Here is a 14,004-nt window from a genome sequence, read left to right on the forward strand (position 1 = left end):
AGCAGCTATTAATGATTTATTGACTAGAAACACTATTTAATTAACAGTTGCAGATTGGTAATATTCTCAAGCTATCATTTCTTTTTCATTTTTTATTTGGAACACCTCTAAAGGAGACACTTCTCATCAACTGTTTGATTTCCTTGCAGTTTATGAGAAAGGCAACACAAATGTTGAATATTTTCTCCTTTATTGGCAGGTTTTCAAAAGAATATATTGGATATTCGCAAACTCCAAAAGTAGCTAAAGTTATTGAGGATTTTTGTAGTGAACTGGTTTAAGGCAGCTATTGGATTTTCTGCCACTCACAACTAAATTTAATCCTAGCTGATACAACACAGGTAAAGGAGGAAAAGAGGCAAAATGCAATGCAATCTTTTCTCCACTGAACTAGGTGTTCCTTGAACACAGTTTATATCCCAGTCACTCTCACATCTCCAGAGCCTACAGGGATATCCAGCTTATAGTATATGCTCGATAAACATTTTCTGAATTAAAGACAAGAACACAACCATTTAGACCTATCAAAATGAATGAAAATGGATTATATGAGCCTTTACTAGAACTTGTAGGTATTGGCGAGAAATGCTAATTCTACCAGATGGCTGAAAGCCCAGGCAGGAGAATGGACACCTCAAATAGTAATATAATGGTATAGGCCAGGTGCAGTGGCTCACACCTGTAATTCCAGCACTTTAGGAGGCCCAGGTGGGCTGATCACGAGGTCAGGAGATTGAGACCATCCTGGCTAACACGGTGAAACCCCATCTCTACTAAAAATACAAAAATTAGCCAGGCGTGGTGGCAGGCACCGGCAGTCCCAGCTACTCAGGGGGCAGAAGCAGGAGAATCGCGTGAACCCGGGAGGCGGAGGTTGCAGTGAGCCGAGACTGCGCCACTGCACTCCAGCCTGGGTGACAAAGCGAGACTCTGTCTCAAAAAATAAAAAAGGTAATATAATGGTATAAAACTGAATGTGCCTGGTGACATGGCTTATAATGTCAAGAATCTGGAAACAATCTAAATGCTGATCAAAGGGAGACTGATTAAAATATGGAATATCCATATAATGGAAATTCGATGTCTCTAAACTAATGAGGCAAATCTATATGCGTAATGATCACAATATATATTTAAGTAAAAACAGCAAGATCTTCAGAATACTACAGGACCCCCCAAAACAAGCAAAGCCAAAGAAAGTAAATGGCAAATTAAATAAGATGGGCAAGAGTGGATGACTGTTAGTGTGCTGAGTGATGGGTATGTAGATGTTCATTGTACCAGTCTCTCTATTCTTGTGTATGTTTGAGAAAATTCTGCAATAAAAATGAAAATAAAAACAAAACCACTTGTCTGAGCCCTGTTTTTTAGTGTGTTTTTCATTTTGTTTTCATTCCTTATTTAAAATATTTCAAAATTCATCCCTTGTGAATAATGGAAGGGAGATTAAACCTACATTTAAATGTTTGGATATTCATAGAAGACAGGTCTCTGGAATGCTATGAAATTCCAGCTGTAACTGTGATACTGTGAAATACATATTTGGTCTTCAACCTGTTTCCTGACATACAACTCCTAAAACCCTTACCATTTCAAAAGTGTTGTCCTTTTGTATGCTAATGAGCTGGCTGAGGGTTAGCATCCTCTAGGTAGCTTCAGGATGAGACTGGTCACCAGACCAAGGCAGGATTAAACAGTTGGGACTTTCAGCCCCCAGTCTCTGGGGAGGAGAGAGGTGCTGAAGGTTGAGTTGATCACCATTAGCCAATGGTTTAATCAATTATGCCTAAGTAATGAAGTTTCCATAAAAACCCAAAAGCACAGGGTTCAGAGAGCTTCCAGACAAACGAATGCATGGAGGTTCCTGGAGGATGCCCCAGGGAGGGCATGGAAGATCCCCTCCCCTTTTCCCATACCTAGCCCTATGCGTCTCTGTCCTTTGTAATATCCTTTATAATAAACTGGTAAATTTACATGTTTCCCTGAGTCCTGTGAGATGCTCTAGTAAATTAATCAAACCCAAAGAAGAGTTCTTGGGAACCCCAGCTTGAAGCCAGTCAGCCAGAAGTTCCAAAGGCCCAGACTTGTGACTGGTGTCTGAAAGGGAGACAGTCTTGTAAGATCCAGCCCCTCACTCTGTGGGATCTGACGCTGTTTCCAAGTAGACAGTGCTGAAACTGAATTGGAGGGCTCCCAGCTGTGGCCACTGCGGAACTGACTGCTTGCTTGGTGTGTGGAGAGAAACCCCCACATGTTTGGTCACAGGTATTTTCTATGTTGATCGTTGTTATGGAGTCAGGGAATAGAAAAATCACTTTGGGTGATGTGCTTTTCCACTCACAGTAACTGATGAGGAAGAAATGGGAGGCTTGCTCATTGTAGGAATGTTTTACCACATGCCTATGTGACATATTGATTACAGAAGAACTAATATTAAAAAGAAAGTATGAGAAAGAGCGACACCGGCCAGGCGCGGTGGCTGACGCTTGTAATCCCAACACTTTGGGAGGCTGAGGAAGGCGGATCACGAGGTCAGAACATTGAGACCATCCTGGCTAACATGGTGAAACCCCGTCTCTACTAAAAATACAAACAATTAGCTGGGCGCCGTGGTGGGTGCCTGCAGTCCCAGCTAATCGGGAGGCTGAGGCAGGAGAATGGCATGAACCTGGGAGGCGGAGCTTGCAGTGAGCCGAGATGGTCACTGCACTCTAGCCTGGGCGACAGAGAAACTCTGTCTTGAAAAAAAAAAAAAAGAGAGAAAGAGTGACACCAATCACCTTTTGCTCTCTGTCTGGCTAATTCAAAGCCAACCTTTAAGTTCCAGGTCAAAGGTCACCTTCCATCGTGGGGCACAGAACTCAAGCAACATTAATGTCCCTAACAAACCAGTTTGGTCCATTAAGTTGTGGTAGGGGTGACTGCCTGTCTAAAGGAGTTGAATTTCAAAATCTTTAAAACACAACAGTAGCCCCCAAACATATTTTGTAGACCACATCTGGATCTAGGCTCCAGATTACAATCCCACATAAAAAGGATTCTTCTCCCTGACTACCCACCCAGTATAGAACTGATGTTCCCTCTGCTGTGCCCCATGGCCCTTTGATCATACTTCTTTTGACACACTTATACCGTATCGGACTATAGTTCTTTGAATAAGAACTTTGGTAATTATTGCCAGCCTTTATTGAGGGCTTATCAGTGGGCAGGCAACATGCCAAGAGTTTTACATCCATGATCTCACTTGGCCCTCACAGCCACCCTTGAAGCTAGGTACAATTTTTAATCCCCATTTTTCAAATGAGGAAACTGAGCCCCAGAGAGGTTGAATAATTTGCTCAAGGTCATACAACTACCAACAGGATGGGCGCACAGAGCTAGGATTGGAACCCAGGCAGTTTGGCTCCGCAGTCTACCTGCTTGACCAGCATTTTATTTTGAAAGACAGGACTTGTGTCCCAATCCTATTGGGAGATTCAGTGTCTAGCACCTTAGTTTAAATAAAGCAAAATTAATTCAACAGTACTTCCTTGGGCAACTACAGAATGCAAAATTTCCTTCTCTACTTCCATTAAGGCAATACAGAGAGTTGTGTTCATTTGTGTCTTACCTGATCCAAGGGTTCTTTTCAAGAAAAATAGCTACTGTGCAGATAAACCTTGAAAACATTAGGCTAAGTGAAAGTAACTGGTCACAAAAGGCCACATATTGTAGGATTCCATTTATATGAAATATCCAGAATAGACAAGTCCATTGAGACAGAAAGTAGAGTTCTTAGTGCTGGGAGAGAATAGGATATTTGGAAAGTGACTGCTAAAGGCTAAGAGGTTTCTTTTTGGGGGGAAAATGTCCTAAAAATTGGTTGTGGCAATGGTTGTACAACTTAAGTAAAGACACTAAGAACCATTAAGTTGTATGATTTAAATTGTAAAATTATATGGAATGTGAATTATATCTCATAAAGGTGTTTGAAAAGAGAAATATCTAATGAACTTTCTTTTTCCAAATAAATGCTGAAAGCAAGATGAGAAAGAAAATAGATGAAAAATACAAAAAGAAAATAACACAGTGGGCTGGGCGTGGTGGCTCACGCCTGTAATCCCAGCACTTTGGGAGGCCAAGGCGGGCGGATCATGAGGTCAGGAGATCGAGACCATCCTGACTAACAGAGTGAAACCCCGTCTCTACTAAAAATACAAAAATGAAAAATTAGCCGGGCGTGGTGGCGGGCACCTGTAGTCTCAGCTACTCGGGAGGCTGAGGCAGGAGAATGGTGTGAATCCAGGAGGCAGAGCTTGCAGTGAGCTGAGACTGCACCACTGCATTCCAGCCTCGGGGACAGAGCGAGACTCCGTCTCAAAAAAGAAAGGAAAAGAAAAGAAAAGAAAAGAAAAGAAAAGAAAAGAAAAGAAAAGAAAAGAACACACAGTGATAGACTATATTGCTTAGCTAAGTGGATATCTAGATAGATGATGGATAGTTTTAGACATCAGTTTCCTGTTGATTTTCTCATGTTGTCCCTTCCAAACCAGCAACCTGAGAGGATGAGAGATCGATCAACAAATTATGTAAGTTACTAAGTTGTTAAGAAGATGGCAAACAACCAACAGAATTAAACACCAAGCCACATATACACAAGTGCTCCCTCCATTGGCTCCTTCAGCACTTTCTTACCAGTTCTGGTGGCCCAAATCTTTTGAGTTGTCTGTTACTTCTCTTAGATGTACATCAAAAACCAGCTCTGAGTTGTGTTTTCATGATGGAGCACAAGACAGATTTTACCCAGTCAACCCTTAACTCTCAACTCAAGAGAGAAAGAATGTGGCAATATAGTTATCCAGAAGGGCAGGCAATCCCTTAGGAATTTCTTTCATCTTTGGAACACATTACGTAATTTATTTTGCAAGAGAGTCTCATAGTTAATTCCATTTTTCATTGGCAACTAATAGTATGAGTTCACACTCCCCAAAGTAACTCTGGAGATACACAGCCTGCTGAGACGGGAGGAGTCGAGCAGGCTGTGAAATGTTTTCCACGCTTTGAGTGCATACGGTGGGTAATGCACATAGAAATGTGTGTGGAGATTCACAATCACATCCACACAGCTTTCTAGATAGACCCATAAGATTTTCCGTTCCCTCCGCAAAATCCATAAGCCAGCGTTCCTTCCAACCACATGTCACCCAGTCCCAAAATGTGCAAATTTTTAAAGGTTCCCCTGGGTCTTATATCTTGGACTCTCTTGTCCAGTGTTTCTCAATCCTTGCTCTCTTTTTCATTATGATAGCCCAGTGTTCCCAAATGTCATTCCATGAAAGGTACTTCTAAATTACTTGGGAGCTATTTACAAACACCTATTTCCATAATCCACACCCTGGAATGTAGGTTTAATAGATCTGGAGTGAAGTCTAAGAGGCTGTATTTTGTTTGTTTGTTTGGTTAGTTTTTGTTTTTTAGTGTTTTCTTAAATGTTTTAAGTGTATTGATTTATTTATTAATTTTAGTTGATAAATAATAATTGTGTACACTTATGGGGCACAATGTGATGTTTTTATCTATGTATAAATTATAGAAAGATTCAGTCAAGCTAATTAACATATCCTCAGCTCACCAACTTACATTTTTGTGGTAAAAAAACATTAAAAAATGGGCAAAGGATTTGAACTGACATTTCTCAAAAAAAGAGATACAAACAGCCAACAGGCGTATGAAATAATATTTAACATCTCTAATCATCAGAGAAATGCAAATTAAAACCACAGTGAGATTATCACCTCACACTTGCTGTGTTGGTGAGGATATGGAGAAAAGGGAACCCTTTTACACTGTTGGTGGGAATGTAAGTTAGCACAGCTATTATGAAAAATGGTACAAAAGTTCCTGAAAAAATGAAAAAATAGAACCACCATATCATCCAGCAATTCCACTTCTGGGTATTTATCCAAAGGAACTAAAATTCATATATCGAAGAAATAACCACATTCTGATGTTCATTACAGCACTATTCACAGCAGCTGAGATATGGAATCTACCTGTGTCCATCAACAGATGAATGGATAAAGAAAACGTGGTACATATACACAACGGAATACTAGCTAGCCTTTAACAAGAAGGAAATTACGTCATTTTCAACAACATGAATGAACCTGGAAGGCATTATGCTAAGTGAAATAAGCCAGACTCAGAAAGACAAATGCTGTGTGGTCTCATTTATAAGTGGAATCTAAAAACGTTGATCTCACTGAAACAGAGTAGAAAGCTGATATCAGAGGCTGTGGTGGGGGCAGCAGGGGTGGATAGAGGAAAGAGGCCGGGAAAGGAGAGATATTGATGAAGACGCAATTTCAGTTAGACTGAATTCATTAGTTTTAGTGATCTGTTGCCCTGCATGGTGACCACAGTTAATAATAACGTATTGTACATTTCAAATGTGCTAAAAGAATAGGAAGCTGTATCTTTAACAAAAGTCTGGGAACCATTGGCCTAGATTACCACAACAGCACCCAACTGGCCTTCCTCCTTCTGCTGTAATAGTCTAAATCTATTTTTTTTGACTGCTGACAACTTTTTTTTTTTTTTTTTCTGAGACGAGGGTCTCACTCTATCACCCAGGCTGGAGTGCAGTGGTGCGAACACAGCTTACCGCAGCCTCAGACTCTGGGCCTCAAGCGATCCTTCCATTTCAGCTTCCCAAACAGCTGGGACTACAGGTGCACACCATTATGTCTAGCCATTTATTTATTTATTTGTTTATTTATTTTTTATTGTTTTGGAGAGACAGGAGTCTCAATATTTTGCTCAGGCTGGTTGCAAACCTCTGGGCTCAAGTGATCCACCCACCTAGGTCTCCCAAAATGCTGAGATTACAGTATTTTGAGTCACAACACCCGGCCTGCTAACAACTTTTAAGCCTTCCCTTTCCCTCACCCCCTTGTGCCTTGCATCTGGGCAAGCTCATGTGAAAGTCTGGATGCTCTTTGTTGGTGCAAGCAGGAAATCCAAACCACACAAGCCCCTGCCCACATTGTAACCACTATTAAAAATTCCAAGCCGGCCGGGCGCGGTGGCTCACGCCTGTAATCCCAGCACTTTGGGAGGCCGAGGCAGGTGGATCATGAGGTCAGGAGATCGAGACCATCCTGGCTAACAAGGTGAAACCCCGTCTCTACTAAAAATACAAAAAATTAGCCGGGCGCGGTGGCGGGCGCCTGTAGTCCCAGCTACTCGGGAGGCTGAGGCAGGAGAATGGCGTGAACCCAGGAAGCGGAGCTTGCAGTGAGACGAGATTGCGCCACTGCAGTCCGCAGTCCGGCCTGGGCGACAGAGCGAGACTCCGTCTCAAAAAAAAAAAAAAAAAATTCCAAGCCTTGGCCGGGCATGGTGGCTCATGTCTGTAATCCCAGCACTTTGGGAGACCAAGGTGGGAGGATTGCTTGAGCCCAGGAGTTCAAGACCAGCCTGGGCAACATAGTGAGACCTCATCTCTAAAAATAAAAATAAATGAAAATCAAATCCCAAGCCAGTCTTTTTTCTTGCTCTCCCAAGCTGTTTTGAACTAGCTTGGGATGTCTTCCCTGTTCTTCCCCAGAAAGCCTCATCATGTAAGTCAGGGGCGTCCAATATTTTGGCTTCCCTGAGCAACACTGGAAGAAGAATTGTCTTGGGCCACACATAAAATACACTAACACTAACGATAGCTGATGAGCTTAAAAAAAAAACAACTAGCAAAAAAAAAAAATCTCAAAATGTTGTAAGAAAGTTTATAAATTTGTGTTGGGCTGTACTTAAAGCCATCCTGGGCCACATGCGACCCGCAGGCTGTGGGCTGGACAAGCTTGATGTAAGTAATAAACATGTGCATGCTCTCTTGGTATGTGTGATGGCGTCAATCTTGACATCCAAACTAAATTTAGGGTGGGGATCCACCTTGCTTCTGCAAGGTAACCACAGCATCTGGTCTCTTGCCATTAAAAGAATTCTCCACATCACTGCTGGAGTTATCTTTCAGAAAACTCGCTTTGCTCGGGTTCCAGATTTGTGCCATGATGTCCCTCGGTTCCCCTCCCTACAATCCCAGTAGTGCCAGAGCACTCTGCCCCACTTAACCTTGTCAGCCTCATCTTCCTCCACCTTTCCTCTCACACGCCTCAAGGGGCAATCACACCACAGTGGTGATGCTACAAAGCACTGATAAGTTTATTTCCAATGTATTCCCACTGCCTTCTTCTTTCTCACTGAAAAGCTCAAAGAAACCACAAAGAAACCAAAGCACTTCTATAGTTAAACAAAATCTGAAAGCAGACCAGCAGACCTCGTTTTCCTGCCCTCTAAGACCAGACAATAGCGGGGCTGGGGAAGTGGAAAGGATCTGGTGGAAGGAAAGTGAGGAGACACAGGAAGAAGGGAAGAGGAGAAAGAGCAGAGCCTCAATCAAGAGGCACTTCCCTTCCTCCCAGCCCAGCTTCACCTCTGTCAGGCCTTTTCTGATCTTCCCTCTTTGGGGCTCTCCTGACATACCACTCACACTTATTTCATTGTGATATTGTTGGTTGTTCATGTTTGTTTACTCCACTGGGTCAATGGCTTCTTAAAAGTGGGGAGTGCGCTTTAGTTGCCCCACATCCAAGGCACACAGGGCTGGCAGGCCTCCTGCCATACACTACTAAATTATTAATTTTTAGAAATCCTGCAATTAACTTAAGATCATATGATAATATGACACTGCATTTTTAGTAGACTGACAAGCATTATTTTTCAATGTAAGCATTGTGAATATCTCAGTGAGCTTGGAACTTTGTTTTCTTGTTTCTGCTTTTCACAGTTCCAGGAACTCTGAAGTGGCCTGTGGCTCCCTTGATCTCCAACAACCCCTGTGCATACATCAAAGTCCTAGACAGAAAATGTTCAGGAAATAACCACTGATCAGTTGCTACCTCAATGCAAAATTCCTTGAAGATGGACCAATGCCAGAAGCCAGTGGTTTTCCTACAGGAAGAGAAACTTGATACTTCTCCCTGTCTTTTCCAGCCCAGATGAAAGGGCACCATATGCCCATACTTATCCCATAAGGCAGGTCCCAGCCTCCTGAGCCACTCTGCAGTGATTTTTTCCTAGCATGTTTCTCCCATGGCTACTAACCACCTGTGAGACCCAGGCAGTAAGTATTCCAGTTCCAAGCAGTTTATGGCACAGTAGGAAGTAGGTTCTGCCTTTTACAATGTGTGACCCTTAGGAAGCTCCCTTTCCCTCCCTAAGAGCTCAATGTCTTCATTATAGAAAGGAAATTATAATAACGTCTGCCCTAGTCACCTTGCAAGAATGCCTTTAGTATTAAACTAGAGAAATAACAGTTGTGGAGAGGTTCATAAACTGTCCAAGGGCCATGCAAAAGCTTTACTCTTAGCTTCTCCTTTGTAAGTGGATGAGCCTAGCTTGCCAAGGAGAATAGTCCCGTTTGCATGCCAAAAACACTTGACACAGCATATACTCCCTACGAAATGAAGCTAGAATTAATAATGCACAGAGGTGTAGGCACGCCCAAGTGCATTGTCTAGTAGGACAGGCTTTTGCAACCTTTTTTATAACGCAATCCATCTTTTGAAAAAAAGAAAATCTCGTTCCTTCCTTTTATCTTATTTGAAATTCCAAATAAGTAAAATAATCATAATCATTAAATATCATGATTCCAAGATGACCCCCTACTACTCTCCCTCGCCAGCTGAAAACCACTTTTGGGGTTATTAGCTATCTTGTTTCCAGATGAGGCATTTATAACACAAGCTAACACTTATTACAAATGTATATGTGTCAGGCCCATTTCTAAACTTTTACAAATCCTAACTCAGGAACTAGCAGCACCTCTATGAGATCCATATTCTTACTTCTCCCATTTTATAGATGAAAGACCTGATGCCCCCTCAAAAGAGGAAAAGTTGGCCGGGCAGGGTGGCTCACGCCTGTAATCCTAGCACTTTCAGCGGCCGAGGTGGGAGGATCACCTGAGGTCAGGAGTTCGAGACCAGCCTGGCCAACATGGTGAACGCTCATCTCTACTAAATACAAAAATTAGCTGGGCATGGTGGCGCACACCTGTAGTCCCAGCTACTCGGGAGGCTGAGGCAGGAGAATTGCTTGAACCCAGGAGGCAGAGGCTGCAGTTAGCAGAGGTCGCACCAATGCACTCCAGCCTGGGCGACAGAGCAAGACTCCGTCTCAATAAATAAATAAATAAATAAATAAATAAATAAATAAATAAGAGGGAAAGTTATTTGCTTAGACACACAGCTAGAGCATGGCAGAGCCAGGCTTTGAATCCCTAAACTCTGAGAGGTTTAACAAACTCACTAACATACCACTCATCGTTTCAATTTGATTTTCATCCAGCAATGGATAAGCCATTTTGGAGCATCTCCAGATTGAGCTTCTACCATGTGAAGCCCACCTGGGAACCGGATGCAGCAGCGCTCAGCAGAACAGCTGCCCTGGGAGGCACTGATTCTAGAAGGCCCCTGCCTGAACCCACTCAAACACCACGCGCTCTCGTGGAGCCCCTCCTGTGTCACCCCTAACAACCCCACAAAATAGGTATTTTTTTAAATCCATGTTTCCACATGAGGAAGCTGAGCCCGGTGAGACTGCCCCCCAGGTCTTCCCTAGAACCACAGTCTTTTCCCACCTTACTGCACCCCCATCCCAGACAGAGCCTTTGAGACGCCTGGGGCTGTCCACTCTCACCACGAATAAACTTGCTCAATGACGGATGAGAAGCCGCTCTCAACTCGCATTTCCTGGAACAGGCACACATCATTTCTATTTTCCTAATAGCCCACTCCCTTCTGAGGAATCAACCTCCACCCAGCCTGAAAGCTAAAGAGATTTTTCTAGAAAACTTCAAAAACATCCCATGTTTGAAGCATGTATTACATTTCCAAATATGTCTGTACTACATTTAATGACTGAATTTTTTTCTTCAGCCATGGAGCTAGAAGCTGCTGAACATAAAGGAACAGAAATATTCATGGTCTATGCTGGTTCCAGGCATAGAAAGCCCTAGAAATAGGTTAAACCATCAAGAGTATAGGAACCACAGCAACCAAAGAAGAAAACTAAAAATCAGCCTTGTCACTGGGTTTTGTGTCCTTTTGGAAGAGTGTCTAGGTGAAATGAAATCCAAAGAAAGCCTGGTAAGAAAGAGGCACACCAGGGCAGACCCCCAACCCCTGTTTATGATGAGTGGAAATGACAATGGTGACAGGAAATACTGCCTCGGCATGAGAAGGATGACATTTACACCCACAGCCGGGTAGAGGGCACGCAGGACTGGACCCCACAACTTCCCCTAATTTGGAGGTACACAGGCTGGAGGCTTCCTGATGGAGAAAATCAGAATTACCCCATGCCAGTCTGAGAGCCCAGCCCCATCACCCCATAAGCAACATCAAAGCAAGGCTGTCTCCACGCTTCTCCACCCTTTAGTGACTTCTCACTAAAAATGATGGGGTCAGGCGTCTTTACAGTATTGGACTGGCTTCCCCGACCGAAATAGGAACTCTGCTAACCCTATTGGAATATAAGCTCTGTAATATCCATGTCTGTGTATTCCTTGCACACTGTTGTGTCCTCAAACCTAGAAAAGTGCCTGACACAAAAGAGGTACTTGCCATTCTTTTGTTTACTCGCTAAGAAACCAAATAAACAGAGAAGTGAAGACATAAATTTATTCACCCGGCACCTGGGGCATCTGTCACAGAGAAGATGCCAATGGGGACATGAGCTCCTCATGCTGGGGCAGCCGCCAGCTCCAGCCTCTGCCCCTCCCTGCGTAACTCTGAAGCTGCTGGGCTGGGAAACCAGCATCTTCTGGAGAGGTTTTAACGGCATCCAGGTAAACAAGGAGAATCACTTCTGGGGAGACCAGCCAGAGTCAGGTTAGATACGGTTTTTATTTCAGGATAAACACGTGAGGAAGAAAGCATAAAAACTGTGAGACATTCTAAATTAGAAATGCAGAGATGATCGAAAGATGATGGGTAAATAGAATTACATAGATGGAATTCATATATATACACATATATGTATTCATATGTATATGTGTACGTATATGAAGATATATATGGTACAGAATGCAAGAAATATACAATGTTGCCTTCTTCCCCTCAGATCATTTGTTTTGTTTCTGGCCAGTGAAAAAATTATATGAAAAAAATGGAAATTCCTTCTCTTTATTTGAATGGCTTCCCATAAAATATGAGATTTTCTACATGGAACTGAAACGTTAAGCATGTAAGGCTCTCAGCTGCAAGAGAGAGTTCTATAAGTTGAATTGCGTCCCCAGAAAAGATGTTGAAGCCCTAACCCCAGGACTTGTGTATATGTGACCTTATTTGCAAACAGGGTCTTTACAGAGCTAGTTCAGTTAAAATGAAGTCATCAGGGTGGGTCCTAATCTGGTATGGAGTCAGAAGAGGGGGAAATTTGGACAAAGAGATGTGCACACAGGGAAAATACCAGGTGAAGATGAAGACAAAGATTGGGGTGAAGCATCTACAAGCTAAGGAATGTCAAAACTCACCAGCAAACCACCAGCAGCAAGGAGAGGGCCATGGAACAGGTTCTCCCTCGCAGCCTTCAGAAGTAACCAACTCTGCCAACACTTTGATCTCAAATTTCCAGAACTATGAAGCAATAAAGTGCTGTTGTTGAAGACATCCAGCTTGCGGTACTTTGTGATAGCAGCCCAAGGAGCATAATACAGATAAGCACTGGCTTAAGCACAGAAAGCAGCAGCATCAGGACTCAGTTCATCCAGGTTTCTGTAAGTTCTGCTTTCCGCAGTCTGGGCTCCACTCCCCAGCAAGTGGTCACTATGTGGTGGAAGTGGTCACTACGTGGTAGCCCCCAGAAGCCCCTGACTTACAACTTCCCAGTTTCAAGTCCTCTCTTGGAGGAGGGCTTCTCTTCCCAGGAGTTCCAACAAAAGACCTGAAATCAAGTTTTAGTGACTTGAATCTTGGGGAAGGGGCCAGCCTCCACCACACCACAGGGTCTGAAAGAGGGATGAAGATTTTTCCTTGTGGAAAATCATTACCAATTATATATCATTACCAAAGAAACAGCGGGTGGAGGCTGAATGCCAAACATGCAAACACACGAAGGTATCTGGAATACATTTTAACACAAGGGATCTGTGCATCCATCCAATCAACAGGTATTTATTGATTCATTCATATTTCATGAGTGACTATTATGTGCCAGGCACCATACTAGTAGCTAGAAATAAAACATATAATGATCCCGGCTCTTATGGAGTTTATATCCAAGCAAGGGGAAATAGTTGATAAAATACAAACCTAAAATGTAAATTATATAGGATATTAAAGGTACTGTCAAGCTCTAAGAGAAAAGAAAATGTAAAGCAAGTTCAGGAAAGTGTCCAGTTTGTGATGTTTGGCAGGCAAAACACAGCATGCTTCATTAAAAAGTAACAGTGAAATAAATATCTTTTAAAAAATGAGCTGGAATAACTATATGGGTATCAGAGAGAAGAGTGTTCCAGGCAGAGAGAACAGCTTGTGCAAAGGCCTTGAGACGGAGAAGTGCCTGGAAGTTCAAGGAACAGCAACAAGGCCAAGCAGCTGAAACAGAGAAAGCAAGCGGGGAAAAGAGTGAGAGATGAGGTCCAAGGTCACAGGAAGCCAACTCACATAGAGCTTTATAGGCCAATGTGTGGACTTGCACTCATGTTGAACGATGTGGGGAATTGTTGCAGAGTTTTGAGCAGAGGAGCGGCATGACCTGATTTGCATTTGTAAAGGACCTCTTTGGTCCCTTGAGAAGGATGAAGGAAGAAGATCAGTTAAGAATATTTGCACTGATTCAAGCAAGGGATGATAAGGGCTGTGTTCTAGATATGTTGAAGATGAGATTGACAAATTTCTTGATGAATTGGATATGAGATGTAAGAGAGAGAGGAATCAAAGATGACTGCAATGTTTTCAGCCTGAG

The 14,004-nt window shown here is 42.8% G+C and overlaps 1 protein-coding gene across 2 annotated transcripts in view; it reads right to left on the minus strand.

The window, feature by feature from the left end:
* TVP23C-CDRT4 (TVP23C-CDRT4 readthrough) overlaps nt 1-14,004 on the minus strand; it is a 127,469-nt gene that overhangs the window by 34,912 nt on the left and 78,553 nt on the right. The gene's annotated exons all lie outside the window — the stretch shown is intronic.

This window comes from Homo sapiens, chromosome 17 (genome assembly GCF_000001405.40).
Source record: "Homo sapiens chromosome 17, GRCh38.p14 Primary Assembly".
NCBI lineage: Eukaryota > Metazoa > Chordata > Mammalia > Primates > Hominidae > Homo > Homo sapiens.